The 15,158-nt window shown below is 50.7% G+C and overlaps 1 protein-coding gene across 1 annotated transcript, besides 2 other annotated features; it reads right to left on the bottom strand.

The window, feature by feature from the left end:
- HMOX1 (heme oxygenase 1) lies at positions 1,363–14,474 on the bottom strand. The gene is made up of 5 exons (NM_002133.3): positions 14,374–14,474; positions 12,344–12,464; positions 8,394–8,885; positions 5,607–5,706; positions 1,363–2,102 (listed from the first exon to the last, which is right to left on the bottom strand). The coding sequence occupies exons 1-5, from the start codon at positions 14,394–14,396 to the stop codon at positions 1,972–1,974; spliced, it is 867 nt and encodes a 288-aa protein (NP_002124.1). The 5' UTR covers positions 14,397–14,474; the 3' UTR covers positions 1,363–1,971.
- Positions 14,204–14,373: a silencer, noted in NCBI's record as "silent region_13656". NCBI's record gives its function as "represses an Ori minimal core promoter by ATAC-STARR-seq in GM12878 lymphoblastoid cells {active_cell/tissue: GM12878}" and the evidence as "EXISTENCE:reporter gene assay evidence [ECO:0000049][PMID:35858748]".
- Positions 14,674–14,753: a silencer, noted in NCBI's record as "silent region_13655". NCBI's record gives its function as "represses an Ori minimal core promoter by ATAC-STARR-seq in GM12878 lymphoblastoid cells {active_cell/tissue: GM12878}" and the evidence as "EXISTENCE:reporter gene assay evidence [ECO:0000049][PMID:35858748]".

The raw sequence follows: 15,158 nt of genomic DNA, 5'->3' as shown, positions 1-15,158 counted from the left end.
AAAAAAAAAATACACCTTGGCCAGGCACAGTGACTCACGCCTGTAATCCCAGCACTTTGTGAAGCCAAGGTGGGAGGATCACTTTAGTTCAAGAGTTTGAGACCAGCCTGGGCAACATAGCGAAACCCCATCTCTAAAAAAAAAATACAAAAATTAACTGGGCATGGTGGTGTGCACTTGTAGCCGCAGCTACTCAGGAGGCTGAGGCCAGAGGATGGCTTAAGCCCAAGAGGTGGAGGTTGCAGTGAGCCAAGATCACACCACTGCACTCCAGTGTGGAGGACAAAGCCAGACCCTGTCTCAAAAAAAAAAAAAAAAAAAAAAAAAAAATCTTGTCCCATGCTCTGCCCAGGACACTTTCAGCAAAAGGTTTTTCACTTTCCCAGATTGGGAGGCTACATATTTAGTATTTTCTTGACTTAGGGCCATAGAAAGGGCTTGGGTTTTAGAGCTGGACAGACCTCAGTGAAATCCATCCTGACCCTCAGATAGTGGAAACACCCCCTCAACACAGGGATGACATAGATGAGGTGACTCGACAGTACAAGAATCACAAAACACTGGTCTCCTTCTTTGCATAATAGGTGCTAACTGTGTATGGCGTTGGCATTTCACTTGCATCTTGTTTGCTTCTCAGGACACATAGGTGAGTTAGGTATCACTATATTCATGTCACCAGTGATAAAATGGAGCCTCAGAGAGGTTAAGTGACTAACCTCAAAGTGGTGTAGCAGGAATTTGAACCTAAGAATTTCACTCCAGTCCCTAATAGTCACTGGACAGAAAATACAAATTTTGCCCCAGAATCTGCTCATTTCCACCAAACAGGGCAACCCCATCTTCCATAAAGTCGAGAATTGCATCAAGCAGGGTTCAACACAAATATTCGCCCACCAGCTACTTAAAGCTCACCTCCTGGGCCAGGCACGGTGGCTCACGCCTGTAATCCCAGCACCTTGGGAAGCTGAGGCAGGTGGACCAGCTGAGGTCGGGAGTTCGAGACCAGCCTGGCCAACATGGGGAAACCCCATCTCTACTAAAAATACAAAAATTAGCTGGGCATGGTGATGAACTTCTGTAATCCCAGCTACTCAGGAGGCTGAGGCAGGAGAATTGATTGAACCTGGGAGGTGGAGCTTGCAGTGAACCAAGATCACGCCACTGCACTCCAGCCTGGGTGACAGAGTGAGACTCCATCTCAAAAAAAAAAAAAAAGAAAAGAAAAGCTCACCTTCTGTATTCTCAAACAGACCAGCTCCTGCCAACCCCCTATCACCACTTCTCCTACCGAGCACGCAAGAAACCAGGGAGGAAAAGGTCAGTTCCCCAAGAATAACAAAGCCCATGAAAACTACTTCAAGCTACTATCAGACAATGTTGTTTATTATTTCACACAAAAGTTAGACCAAGGCCACAGTGCCGTTAAACACCTCCCTCCCCACCCACGCATGGCTCAAAAACCACCCCAACCCTGCTATAAAAACAACAGAACACAACAAAAATACTGCATTTGAGGCTGAGCCAGGAACAGAGTGGCTCCAACAAAAATAAGACAAAAACACAAGACACAACATCTTTTCAGGTTTGTGTAAAAATTGCCATGGCCCACGGGGAAAGTGGTCATGGCCGTGTCAACAAGGATACTTGAAACTCAGGGCTTTTGGAGGTTTGAGACAGCTGCCACATTAGGGTGTCTTCCAGGCTCTGCTGCAGGAACTGAGGATGCTGAAGGGCAGGGCTGATCCCTTCGCCCCCTCTGAAGTTTAGGCCATTGCCTGGATGTGCTTTTCGTTGGGGAAGATGCCATAGGCTCCTTCCTCCTTTCCAGAGAGAGGGACACAGTGAGAGGGCTGGAGGCCCTGAAAGCCTTCAGTGCCCACGGTAAGGAAGCCAGCCAAGAGAATTCCCTCTCTAGAAAGAAGGCCTTCCACCGGACAAAGTTCATGGCCCTGGGAGCCAGCATGCCTGCATTCACATGGCATAAAGCCCTACAGCAACTGTCGCCACCAGAAAGCTGAGTGTAAGGACCCATCGGAGAAGCGGAGCCTGGGAGCGGGTGTTGAGTGGGGGCTTCCCTCTGGGAGTCTCCACGGGGGCAGAATCTGAAAGAGAAAATGGGGCAAGGTCATTAACAGGTGGGCGTGCATCAGGGTGTCTGATGTCATAGGAAAGCAAAGCAGAGCGGCCTCAGGGTCTGTGGTACAGTCACTGCCCAACGCCAGGATTCTGCAAGACCACAGACAGGTGTCCCTCTAGCCACTGCTTGAATACCTTCAAAGACGGGCAGCTCACTACTTCTTCAAGCTGTCTGTTCTTCCCTGTGCAGCCAGGCCACATTGTGAAAACATTCTTGGGCCCAGGCGTGGTTTTCAGACTTCTGCCTGCTCCCTGTCCTCTCCTTAAACTTTGCCAGCAATTAGGTCTGAGCTGTAAATCTTCCTCTCAAACTCACACGTTTGCTAAGCATGGTGATGATGGGGCAGGAGCTAGAAAGCAGGAGCTCTGAGGTCAAAATTCAAGTTCAGTCCCATCCCTGGTTATTAAAATGTGATAGGGCCGGGCGCAGTGGCTCACGCCTGTAATCCCAGCACTTTGGGAGGCCAAGGCAGGTGGATCACGAGGTCAGGAGTTCAAGACCAGCCTGGCCAATATGGTGAAACCCCGTCTCTACTAAAAATACAAAAAATTAGCCGGGTATGGTTGCGAGTGCCAGTAATCCCAGCTACTCGGGAGGCTGAGGCAGAGAATTGCTTGAACCCAGGAGGCAGAGGTTGCAGTGAGCCAAGATTGCGCCACTGTACTCCAGCCTGGGCAACAGAGTGAGACTCCATTTCAAAAAAAAAAAAAAAAAAGATTTAAAACATGATAGGCCAGAGCCAACCATGCAACCTGGGTAGATGTGCCACCTGCCTCCTCAGGCACAGAGTGGGTGCTCCCTAGGTCTTTAGAAGCAGGACAGAGTCCAGGGCAGGTCTCTGGAGCCAGACCAGCTGGGTTTCAATCCTAGCCCCGCCCTGGGCTATGAGAAGGGCTTCCCCAGAGAAAACAGGGCCTTAGGTCTGGTGGCCCAGGGCTGCGGTCACAGGAAGTACAAGCAAGCAAGCAAGCAAGCAGGTACACTGTGACATTTACATGTGTGTTGTTCATATTAAAGGCTCCTGCTCCTTCTGATGCATTAGGGGTGCAGTTCTCAAATGTTTTGGTTCCAAAACTCCTTTATACTCAAATGCAACCAAGGATCCAAAAGAGCTTTTGTTTGTGTGAGTATAGCTATCACTATTTACAAAATTAGATATTAAAACTGAGAAATTCTTTTTCTTTTCTTTTCTTTCTTTTTTTTTTTTTTTTGAGATGGAGTCTCGCTGTCGCCCAGGATGGAGTACAGTGGTGCAATCTCGGCTCACTGCAACCTCTGCCTCCCGGACTTAGGAGATTCTCCTGCCTCAGCCTCCCGAGTAGCTGGGATTACAGGTGTGCACCATCACACCCAGCTAATTTTTATATTTTAGTAGAGATGGGGTCTCACCACATTGGCCAGGTTGGTCTCAAACTCCTTACCTCAAGTGATCCCCGTGCCTCAGCCTCCCAAAGTGCTGGGATTACAGGCATGAGCCATCGTGCCCGGCCAAAACTGAGAAATTCTTAACATACAAGAACATACAGGCACACATTCCATGAGCCATCAAATCCATGAGAGAGCATCACATGTCACATAACCTTTGGAAAATGCCAACACACATTCATGAGAAAGTGAAACTCTAATTTTCTCATTTATTTTTGGCTTTTTTAAAAAAAGCCAAAAAAAAAAAAAATCTGGGTGTGGTGGCACGTGCCTATAGTCCCAGTTACTCAGGAGGCTGAGGTGGGAGAATCCCTTGAACCTGGGAGGTTGAAGCTGCAGTGAGCTGTGATTGTGCCACTACACTCCAGACTGGGTGAAAGAGCGAGACCCTGTCTCAAAAAAAAAAAAAAAAAAAAAAAAAGGCCGGGCGCGGTGGCTCACACCTGTAATTACAGCACTTTGGGAGGCCGAGGCGGGCGGATCACAAGGTCAGGAGATCGAGACCATCCTGGCTAACACAGTGAAACCCCGTCTCTACTAAAAATACAAAAAATTAGCCAGGCATGGTGGCGGGCACCTGTAGTCCCAGCTACTCGGGAGGCTGAGGCAGGAGAATGGCGTGAACCTGGGAGGCGGAGCTTGCAGTGAGCCGAGATCATGCCACTGCACTCCAGCCTGGGTGACAGCAAGACTGTCTCAAACGAAAAAAAAAAAACCAAAAAAATAGTAGTAGTGTTATAAAAATGCTTTGTCCTCACAGACCCCGTTGAGGGGATACTAGGATTACCACCTCCCACAGCCAGGGTACCACACTTTGAGAACTGCTTCATTAGGGTGACGTCTCCCTACCCCACCAAATAGCCAAGCCCTCCGGGGTTACAAACCCCTAGCAGAGGGGTCCGTGTGGTCTGGCACAAGTGAGAAAGCCACAAGCCAGGTAGGTTAGGGTGGCACAGGAGGGGAGGCCTAATATAACCTGCCAGGAGGTAGCTAAGCCTTACCTCTTTATTGCTACCCATCCCAAAGCCACACTCCCTCCCTCAGTGTTTTAGGCTTAGTGAGGGTACATTTTGTGGAGCACTTTGGTCTTTTTGGAAGTTTCCAAGATGTTTCAGTACAGCCAGCCTTGATCGTTCTTAGGCACATGAGGGAGGGGCTCACACACAACAAGACTCAGAAGGGACATCTTCCTGTGGTGGGTTCATAGCTGGATACAGGTCCCCAACTCCCTGGCCCACATCAGGGGACCAAAGGCCTAAAAAGGAGTCTAAATTAAGGAGGCAGGAGTTTCCCATGATTTCTGAGGGGTTCTTGTGCACTTCTGAGCCAATAAGCTAGAAGTAGCTGAACCTCACTGGATTTTACGGGTGGGGAAACTGAGGTAGGGAGAAGTCTCATGGCTTGCCCAGAGCCACACGCTGAAGGTTGACCCCAGGTCCTTTTGCCTGCACTCCACTTCTCATACAAAAACACGCAGGTGGCCGGGCACAGTGACTCACGCCTGTAATCTCAGCACTTTGGGAGGCCAAGGTGGGCGGATCACCTGAGGTCAGGAGTTCGAGACCAGCCTGGCCAACATGGTGAAACCCCATCTCTACTAAACATACAAAAAAAAAATTAGCCAGGCATGGTGGTGGGCGCCTGTAATCCCAGCTACTCGGGGGGCTGAGGCAGGATAATTGCTTGAACCCGGGAGGCAGAGGTTGCAGTGAGCTGAGATCGCGCCACTGCACTCCAGCCTGGGTGAGACTCCATCTCAAACAACAACAACAACAAACATTCAGGCTGGCATGGTGGCTCGCGCCTGTAACTGCAGCATGTGGGGAGGCAGAGGCAAGAGGATTGCTTGAAGTCAGGTGTTCAAGACTGGCCTGGGCAATATAGCGAGAACCTGTCCTTACAGGGGCAGTGGGGTGGGGCAGCAGGAAACAACACCCACCACCACCAAACATTCAGAAAACAGAGGAATAGAGATACTACAGTCAGACAGCCAAGTCCCTCCATGTGTAGCCCAGAGGAAGTGCCCCTTCCTGGATGCTCTCACCTTGCACTTTGTTGCTGGCCCGCTGGCGAAGCCCTGGTGCCCGTGAGGGGCTCTGGTCCTTGGTGTCATGGGTCAGCAGCTCCTGCAACTCCTCAAAGAGCTAAAAGACAAAAGACACACATGCCTATCTCAGTGAGAGATGCTACCAGGTCCCAGCTGAAGGTAGGACCTTAAGTTGTGTTAGGAAATACTTTGGAAATAACAAGATGGTAAGAAAAATATTGGCCGGACACGGTGGTGCGCCCCTGTAATCCCAGCACTTTGGGAGGCCAAGATGGGCACATCACGGGTCAGAAGTTTGAGACCAGCCTAGCCAACATAGTGAAACCCCATCTCTAGTAAAGATACAAAAAATTAGCCGGGCGTGGTGGTGCATGCCTGTAATCCCAGCTACTCGGGAGGCTGAGGCAGGAGAAATGCTTGAACCTGGGAAGCTGAGGTTGCAGTGAGCCAAGATCGCCCCATTGCACTCCAGCCCGGGTGACAGGGCGAGACTCTGCAAGAAAGAAAGAAAAGAAAGAAAGAAAGAAAGATAGAAAGAAAGAAAGAAAGAAAGAAAGAAAGAAAGGAAGGAAGGAAGGAAGGAAGGAAGGAAGGAAGGAAGGAAGGAAGGAAGGAAGGAGAAGAAAGAAAGAAAGAAAGAAGAAAGAAAGAAAGAAAGAAAGAAGAAAGAAGAGAGAGAGAGAGAGGAGAGAGAGAGAGAGAGAGAGAGAAAAGAAAGAAAAAGAAAGAAAGAAAGAAAGAAAGAGAGAAAGAAAGAAAGAAAGAAAGAAAATTCATATCCCTTTCATCCACCTTAAGAGATAAGATGTTCCAAGCCCAATTGGCTCCCCTGCCTGCTCTTGCCCTCCCAACCGATAACAATGATCCTGGATTTAGAGTTCACTGTGGCCGCCCATGTCCTTAGCCTGTGTCTCCATGCAAAAGGCTGCGTTGCTTGTTTTGAAATAATATTAAGTGGTATCCTAGTACATGCACTCTTCTGCCGCTGCTTTCTTCTCTTGAGTTTAGATTTGTGAAATTCAGCCTTGGTGAGGTGTGCTGAATGGTATTTGTTAGCCTTGCAGATGAGGAAACTGTAGCTCCTACAGGTTAAGTGCTTTGCCCAAGGACTGATCCAGAGGTCAGGCACTAAGAGCCGTTTTTTTTTGTTTGTTTTTTGTTTTTAATACGGAGTCTCACTCTGTCTCCCAGGCTGGAGTGCAGTGGCGCGATCTCTGCTCACTGCAAGCTCCGCCTCCCGGGTTCACGCCATTCTCCTGCCTCAGCCTCCTGAGTAGCTGGGACTACAGGTGCCCACCACCATGCCCAGCTAATTTTTTTTGTATTTTCTTTTTTTTAGTAGAGATGGGGTTTCACCGTGTTAGTCAGGATGGTCTCGATCTCCTGACTTCGTGATCCACCCGCCTCGGCCTCCCAAAGTGCTGGAATTACAGGCGTGACCCACCACGCCCGGCCAGCCAAGAGCCGTTTTTTTTTGTTTTTGTTTTTGTTTTTTTGGTTTTTGAGACAGAGTCTTGCTCTGTTGCCGTTGCCCAGGCTGGAGTGCAGTAGCATAATCATGGCTTACTGCAGCCTTGACCTCCTGGGCTCAAGCAATCCTCCCACCTCAGCCTCCCAAGTAGCTGGGACTACAGGTGCACGCTACTATGTCTGGCTAATTTTTTCATGTTTTTGTAGAGATGGGGTCTCACTGTGTTGCCAGGGCTGGTCTCAAACTCCTGGGCTCAAGCCATTTTCCTGCTTTGGCCTCCCAAAGTGTTGGTATTATAGGCACGAGCCTGAGAGCCAGTTCTGATTCCAAATCCCTTTTCTTTTAAAAACATTTTTTTCCTTTAAATTTTTTTTTATTTTTTATTTTTGATAGAGACAGGGTCTCACCATGTTGCTCAGGCTGGTCTGAAACTCCTGAGCTCAAGCAATCCGCCCACCTCGGCTTCCCAAAGTGCTGGGATTACAGGCGCGAGCCACTGCACCTGGCCCTTTTCTTTTGCCTACACTTCTCTGAAAGACACAGATTTTCTTCCTCCAAGACGGACTGGATTTTCTGAAGGGGGAGGGTGGAAGGGAAAGGCCTTGTTCCGTAACAGGGGCCAGGACCAGAATCTTCTGCAATCCACGGCTGGGAGTAGGGAGCCAGGAGGGCATGACCCCGAGCCCCAGGCCCCATGGCACCTCCAGGGGGTGGCAGAGAGAGAAGGCTCTATGACATCTGGTTAGAAGGAGCCCCTCACCCCTCCACCTCTGCCCAAGAATTCATCCTTCCAGGCTTTGCGCAAACCCCACCTTCCCCCTGGATTTGAGACACTTGTAGAAAGAGGTAAACCTCTCTGGCTAGGCTGAGAGTCCCTGGAAGGCAGAGGCCACCTGTAACCCTGGGAGTGCCAACCTGGCTATACACTAGTGCACACACAACTTATACATTGCCACAGACTGTTGTCACAGAGAGCTACAACTGATTCTCATGTCCCATTATGACAGTAGTGAATGTTTGAGGGCTTCCTCTGTGCCAGACACTGCTGTGGGGACTTTACTGCTGTAAATTCACTCAAGCCTTATAAGTCTAAGATATAGGTACCATTATTATCCCTATTTTACAGATAGGGAAACTGAGGTACAGAGAGATGAAGGCATTTGCCCAAGATCACCCAGCTAGTAAGTGGCAGTGCTGGAACTCTGGTTCCCTGTGTTAACCATGACCTATAGCACCCTCCCCTACAATGAGAAGGGTCCCTTGGAGGAACAACGGGGGGAGGCAGAGGCTGCCCCAGGCTGCCCGACCCTCACCTGGATGTTGAGCAGGAACGCAGTCTTGGCCTCTTCTATCACCCTCTGCCTGACTGCGGGAGTCATCTCCAGGGAGTTCATGCGGGAGCGGTAGAGCTGCTTGAACTTGGTGGCACTGGCAATGTTGGGGAAGGTGAAGAAGGCCAGGCCCTCGCCAGAGCTGGGCAGGTCCAGGGCTTTCTGGGCAATCTTTTTGAGCACCTGGCCCCCAGACAGGTCACCCAGGTAGCGGGTGTAGGCGTGGGCCACCAGCAGCTCGGGCTCTGTGCGCCCCACCTCGTGGAGCCGCTTCACATAGCGCTGCATGGCTGGTGTGTAGGGGATGACCTCCTGCCAGCGGGGCCCGTACCAGAAGGCCAGGTCCTGCTCCAGGGCAGCCTTGCGGTGCAGCTCTTCTGGGAAGTAGACAGGGGCGAAGACTGGGCTCTCCTTGTTGCGCTCAATCTCCTCCTCCAGGGCCACATAGATGTGGTACAGGGAGGCCATCACCAGCTGAAAGCAGAGTGAGCAGGTCAGGCCGCCAGCCACATAGAAGACCCCCACCTCTGTCCGTCCCGTCCACTACTGCCTTTGGAAAGGCCCTCCTCACTTCGCAGCTGGGCTCTGACTCCTTCTGCCACCCCTCGCTACAATCCTCTTCACACAGCAGCCAGAGGGGTTTTTACAAGAGGAAAAGACGATCATGCACTTTCTCAGCCTAAAAACCTTTTACCCCACTGGGCAAAACAAGCAGCCTAATTGAATCCTTATATAAAGATCTAACAAACTGGCCCAGTGTGGTGGCTCAAACCCCTGTAATCCCTGCACTTTGGGAGGCTAAGGCTGGAGGATTGCTTAAAGCCAGGAGTCTGAGACCAGCCTGGGCAACATAGCCCAAAACCCACCTCTACAAAAAATTATTTTAAAAAACTAGCTGGCTGGGGCCAGGTGCGGTGGCTCACGCCTGTAATCCCAGCACTTTGGGAGGCCGAGGCGGGAGGATCACAAGGTCAGGACATCAAGACCATCCTGGCTAACAAGGTGAAACCCCGTCTCTATTAAAAATACAAAAAAATTAGCCGGGCGTGGTGGCGGGCGCCTGTAGTTCCAGCTACTCAGGAGGCTGAGGCAGGAGAATGGCGTGAACCCGGGAGGTGGAGCTTGCAGTGAGCTGAGATCTCGCCACTGCACTCCAGCCTGGGCAACACAGCGAAATTCTGTCTCAAAAAAATAAATAAAAATAAATAAATAAATAAATAAACTAGCCAGCTGGACGCGGTGGCTCACGCCTGTAATCCCAGCACTTTGGGAGGCTGAGGCAGGCGGATCACGAGATCAGGAGTTCGAGACCAGCCTGGCCAAGAGACCAGCCTGGGCAATATGGTGAAACCCTATCTCTACTAAAAACACAAAAATTGGCCAGGCATGGTGGCAGGCACCTATAATCCCAGCTACTCGGGAGGCTGAGTCAGGAGAATTGCTTGAACCCAGGAGGCAGTGGTTGCAGTGAGCCGAGATCACGCCATTGCGCTCCAGCCTGGGCGACAGAGCAAGACTTTGACTCAGAAAAAAAAAAAAAAAAAAAAAAGCCAGGTATGGCTGTGGGGGTGCATGCCTATAGTCCCAGCTACTCCAGAGGCGGAGGCAGGGGTATCACTTGAGCCCAGGATTTCAAGGTTGCAGTGAGCTGTGATCATATCACTGTACTCCAGCTTGGGGAACAGAGTGAGCAAGACCCTGTCTCAGAAAAAAAAAAAAAAAAAATCCAACAAAGGAATTGCTATTCCCATTTTACAGAAAAGGAAACTAAGGCTCAGAGAGGGTATGAGACATGGAGGTTGCACAGCTAGTAAGAAATGAAACTAGATTGAAGACCGGGCATTGCCAGGGACCCACCATGGCTCAGGAGAGGGGAACAGCTGAAATGAAAGTGCTTAAAGGAGATTGGCCATGTGCTTCTGGCTTTTGACCTCTGCGTAACCAACTACAGGGCACAATTCTCCTTCCTGGAGGCCTATTCTGAACCCCACCACCTCTGCATGCTGGGCTGAGGCAACAGGTCTTGAGTGTACCTTGGCTTGGGGCACTAACTCCCGTTACACATTAATACGCCCGTTTAAATTTGAAGGAGAACAAAGTTAAGACATTTAGGTTGGAGTTTCTGAGTTATTTCTGAGCCACAAACATTCAAAGCAGCTCTATTCCTTGAGGGGACAGAAAGCCAGGCAGTCTGGTACAAAAGAGCCTGGGTTTTTGAGTGTGACGGACCTGGTTCTTACCCAACTCTGCCAGTCCTTAACTGTGTGACCATGGGTGAGCCACTTGCTTTCTCTGGTCCCAGCTTCCTATCCTATCCTAGAGCAGATGATCTGAGGTCCGTGTGACTGTGCTAGCCAACTGTGCTAGTCAGTTCCCTCACCTGCCACATACTAGATGGGGCTGGTGTGAGGATTAAGTGAGAGGATCTGGGCCAGCACAGAGGGCAGCCTGGCACTTAGCGCTCACATGAGAAGGGCTGTGATAAGTGCCACGTCCACCAGCTTAATGTAAGTGAGCACTGGATTCTCTCATGGATCTTGGCGCCTCCTTAGAACCCTGTGACTTAGAGGCAAAATCCAAAGTCTAAGCTGGCTGGGGATGGGATATTCCAGCATTCACCTCCCTGCACCCACTGTCTCCAGTCACACTGCAGCAACTGGGTGTACCTCATCTTTTTAAGGGAGAGGGGAGGAGGATGAGGAAGACCCATTACAGGCCCAAGGACCCCACCCAGCCTGGAACCACAGATTAAATCTCTCCTCATTAAAGCATGTCTCGGCCGGGTGGTGGCTCACACCTCTAATCCCAGCACTTTGGGAGACCAAGACGGGTGGATCATCTGAGGTCAGGAGTTCGAGACCAGCCTGGCCAACATGGTAAAACCCTGTCTCTACTAAAAAAATACAAAAATTGGCCAGGTGTGGTGGTGGGCACCTGTAGTCCCAGCTACTTGGGAGGCTGAGGCAGGAGAATCGCTTGAACTTAGGATGCGGAGGTTTCAGGGCACCGAGATCTTGCCATTGCACTCCAGCCCGGACAACAGAGTGAGACTCTGTCTCAGATAAAATAAAATAAATAAAGCATGTCTCATGTTGGAAGTAGGGGGTGGCAGAGGGTGCAGATTGCAAAAGGGACTGGGATGAAGGTGGTGGGATATAGCTCCCTACTCCCCACCCCCACACCCTCTGTTCAACCTGAACAAGCTCTTCCCCACGCTGATGTTTTAACACCCAGTATCTTCCCGGTTCTTCATCAAGTGCTTTCCTTCTATTTGCATGAATTTCACAACAGTGCTGGGAAACAGCAAAATCAGTACCTGGCATATAGTGGGTGCTTAAGAAAACCCTGCTGTTGAAATACTCTTTTACAGATGGGGAAAACGTGGCTTAGGGAGATTAGATGAGGCACCCTCAGTCTCACTGTTAGAAAAGGGTTCTGTTAAGACTCCAACCTATATTATTCCTTATCTTCAGAGGCAAATTCGAGTTAGATCAGGAGTACAAGCTCTGAAATACAAGGAGTACAAGGCTGAAATCGGTCTTGGTTGATTTCAGCCTTTTCCACTTACTGGCTGTGTGACCTTCTGTTAGTCACTGAACCTCTCTGAGCCTTCCAGTCCTCATCTTTCTCGTCAGGGTTGAAGCACAGATTAGAAACCACGTGTACAAAATGCCCAACATGGAACCGGTGCTCAGTCAACGGCACTGCTGCCCCAGCCCCTCCACAACATTACAGAGCAGGCTGAACTTGCTGTGTGACCTTGGGTAACTCACCTTCCCTCTCTGAGCCTCAGTGTCATCATTTTTAAGATGATTCTATTGGACATGCCCATCTGGTCCCTCAGCATCCCCACTTAAACCACTGGTCTGAGCCTTGGGTCCACCCACACCTGCCACACCCTCCACCAGGGCTAGTCCCACCAAGCCACATACCTTGAAGCCGTCTCGGGTCACCTGGCCCTTCTGAAAGTTCCTCATGAACTCAGCATTCTCTGCCTGGGTGTGCACCTCCTTGGTGGCCTCCTTCAGGGCCTCTGACAAATCCTGGGGCATGCTGAGGAGGAAATGGGAAAGGTGAACACAAAGCTGGCTGGGGGTGGGGTCCTTCCCAACTGCTGAGCCTCCCACCTGTGGGCAGGCCTTCAAGAGACTCCCATCCTCATTCAGGCCACGTTCTCAATCGCTTTAAGATGCAGCCTTGTGGCTGGGCACGGTGGCTCACGCCTGTAATCCCAGCGCTTTGGGAGGCCAAGGCAGGTGGATCACCTGAGGTCAGGAGTTCGAGACCAGCCTGGCAAACATGGTGAAACCCCGTCTCTACTAAAAATACAAAAATTAGCCGGGCATGGTGGCAGGTGCCTGTAATCCCAGCAATTATGCCTGTAATTGCTTGAATCCCGGAGGCAGAGGTTGCAGTGAGCTGAGATCACACCACTGCACTCCAGACTTGGTGACAGAGAGACTCCATCTCAAAAAAAGAAAAAAAAAGAAAAAAAGGGCCAGGCATGGTGGCTCACGCCTGTAATCCTAGCACTTTGGGAGGCTGAGGCGGGCAGATCACCTGAGGCCAGGAGTTTGAGCCCAGCCTGGCCAACATGGTGAAACCCTATCTCTACTAAAAATACAAAAAAAAAAAAAAAAATAGCCGGGCATGGTAGTGGGCGCCTGTAATCCCAACTACTTGGGAGGCTGAGGCAGGAGAATCGCTTGAACCCAGGAGGCAGAGGTTGCAGTGAGCCGAGATCGCGCCACTGCACTCCAGCCTGGGCAACAGAGCAACACTCCATCTCAAAAAAAGAAAAGCAAAAAAGCAAAAAAACAAAAAAACAAAAAACAAAAAACAAATTCAGGCTGGGCATGGTGGCTCTCGCAGCTTTGTAAACACTCTTCAGTCATTAAAACACTAAATAATACAGTCCCCCAAACCAAGGGGGAAATCCTGGTACAGGTAGTTCGCAGTGGAGAGGAGGAGGAGGTACAGCATAACCCAGGAAGAAGCAGCAGCCCCATGAACCGGCATCTCCAAGTTTGTAATTGCTTTGATTGGCTTTTAGACCCAATATTTAATTCAGTTATTTTGTTAAAGTTCCAGATGCAAATCTCATGACCCCCTATCATGTTATGCTCATCATGAAGGCGTCAGGGTTAAAAAGCCTGAGAAAGTCTGCTTTAGTCAAAGAAAAAGTCTTTCTGGGAGTATTTCTGTCATGGGTCCGTATCCCTGCCTCCCCACAGAATTGTCATTTTTCCCTTTTCTCCTGCCCTGCTTCCCTGTTCTACAACACAGCTGGTCAAAGTCTCAGGAGAAATGGCACATGTCTGTAAGTCCCAGCTACTCTGGAGGCTGAGGTGGGAGGATGCTTAAGCCCAGGAGTTAAAAAAAAAAATACTAACAAATTATTGAAAGAAGGGAATGAGTGAGACCTGGAGGTGGGCAGACCAAGGTTCAAGGCCCAGTTCTGACACCAGCTAACTGAGCACTCTTGGGCATGTCGCCTCCCTGAACTGGGCTATCTGTGAGACATGGAACACCGCAGCCAGGGTGATGTCTGGCTCAGGTCCTCCGTAGCTAGTGAGGGACAGATGCCACCAAGAGAACCAAGCATGCTCCCCCAGGCTGGCAGAGCCCCAGAGATCTAGATTCAGCAGAGAGCAACTCCAAACACACCTCGAAAGTAGGATTAAAAAAAAAATTGGCTACCTCAAAGACTGGATACTCTAGGGACACTCCCATCTTGGTCACCAACCGCATACCAGGGTGCCAGGCATGTAAATTACCGTTCCTCCCTCCAACTACCCTACGGGCACAGGCAGGATCAGAACCCCGCACCTCCTGACTCCAGAGCCCAAGTTTCTGGCTCCTGGGCTCTGTCGCTGTGTGGCAGTGTCCCGGGGTGGGGCTAGGACGCAAGCAGGGTTGGGAGAGAAAGGCGCCCGTCCCGCGTCCCGCGCCCCGCGCTTGCCTGTCGGGTTGCGGACGCTCCATCCGGCCGGTGCTGGGCTCGTTCGTGCTGGCTCCGCGGGCGGCGGCTGCGCTGAGGACGCTCGAGAGGAGGCAGGCGTTGACTGCCGGAGCCGCGGCCGGTCACATTTATGCTCGGCGGGTCACGTGGGCCAGGCGGAACAGCTGATGCCCACTTTCTGGCCGGGCGTTGCAACACCCGCAGGGGCCCGCGCCCAGCCCGCCCCGGGCCAGTGTGGGGTGGAGAGGAGCAGTCATATGACCCTTGGGAAACAAAGTCTGGCCATAGGACTTTTAGAGAAAACACACACACACACACACACACACACACATACACACACACACACACACACACACACACACAAAACCTTTAAGGAAATCTGAGAAGCTGCAGGCTCTGGGTGTGATTTTGCTCCTTCCAGAGCCCCCCCTTCTGCTCCCTGTCCCCTTGGGACTTGATGCACCCCAGGCGTCCCAGAAGGTTCCAGAAAGCTGGGAGGCAGCGCTGCTCAGAGCAATAGCCTGGTGGGCAACATCAGGAACTTAGCAACCCCAGGCTCTGCTGTCTCCAGCTCCCTAAAATGTCACCTGCTGGAATCCTCTGCTGACTGCTTGCCTCCTCACACCCTCTTTAAATGTACATTTAGGATCTGTTTTTTGAGTTCCTGTCAAAAAACAGAGACTCTAGTATTTTCATGGTTCATCCCTACAACTGACCTGTGAGGGTAGATCGCTTCTATTTTACAGATGGGGAAACCGAGGCTCAGAGGGGTGCAGTGGTGTCAC

Source organism: Homo sapiens, chromosome 22, assembly GCF_000001405.40.
Source record: "Homo sapiens chromosome 22, GRCh38.p14 Primary Assembly".
Classification (NCBI taxonomy): Eukaryota; Metazoa; Chordata; class Mammalia; order Primates; family Hominidae; genus Homo; species Homo sapiens.
This window is presented reverse-complemented; position numbering and strand designations above follow the sequence as displayed.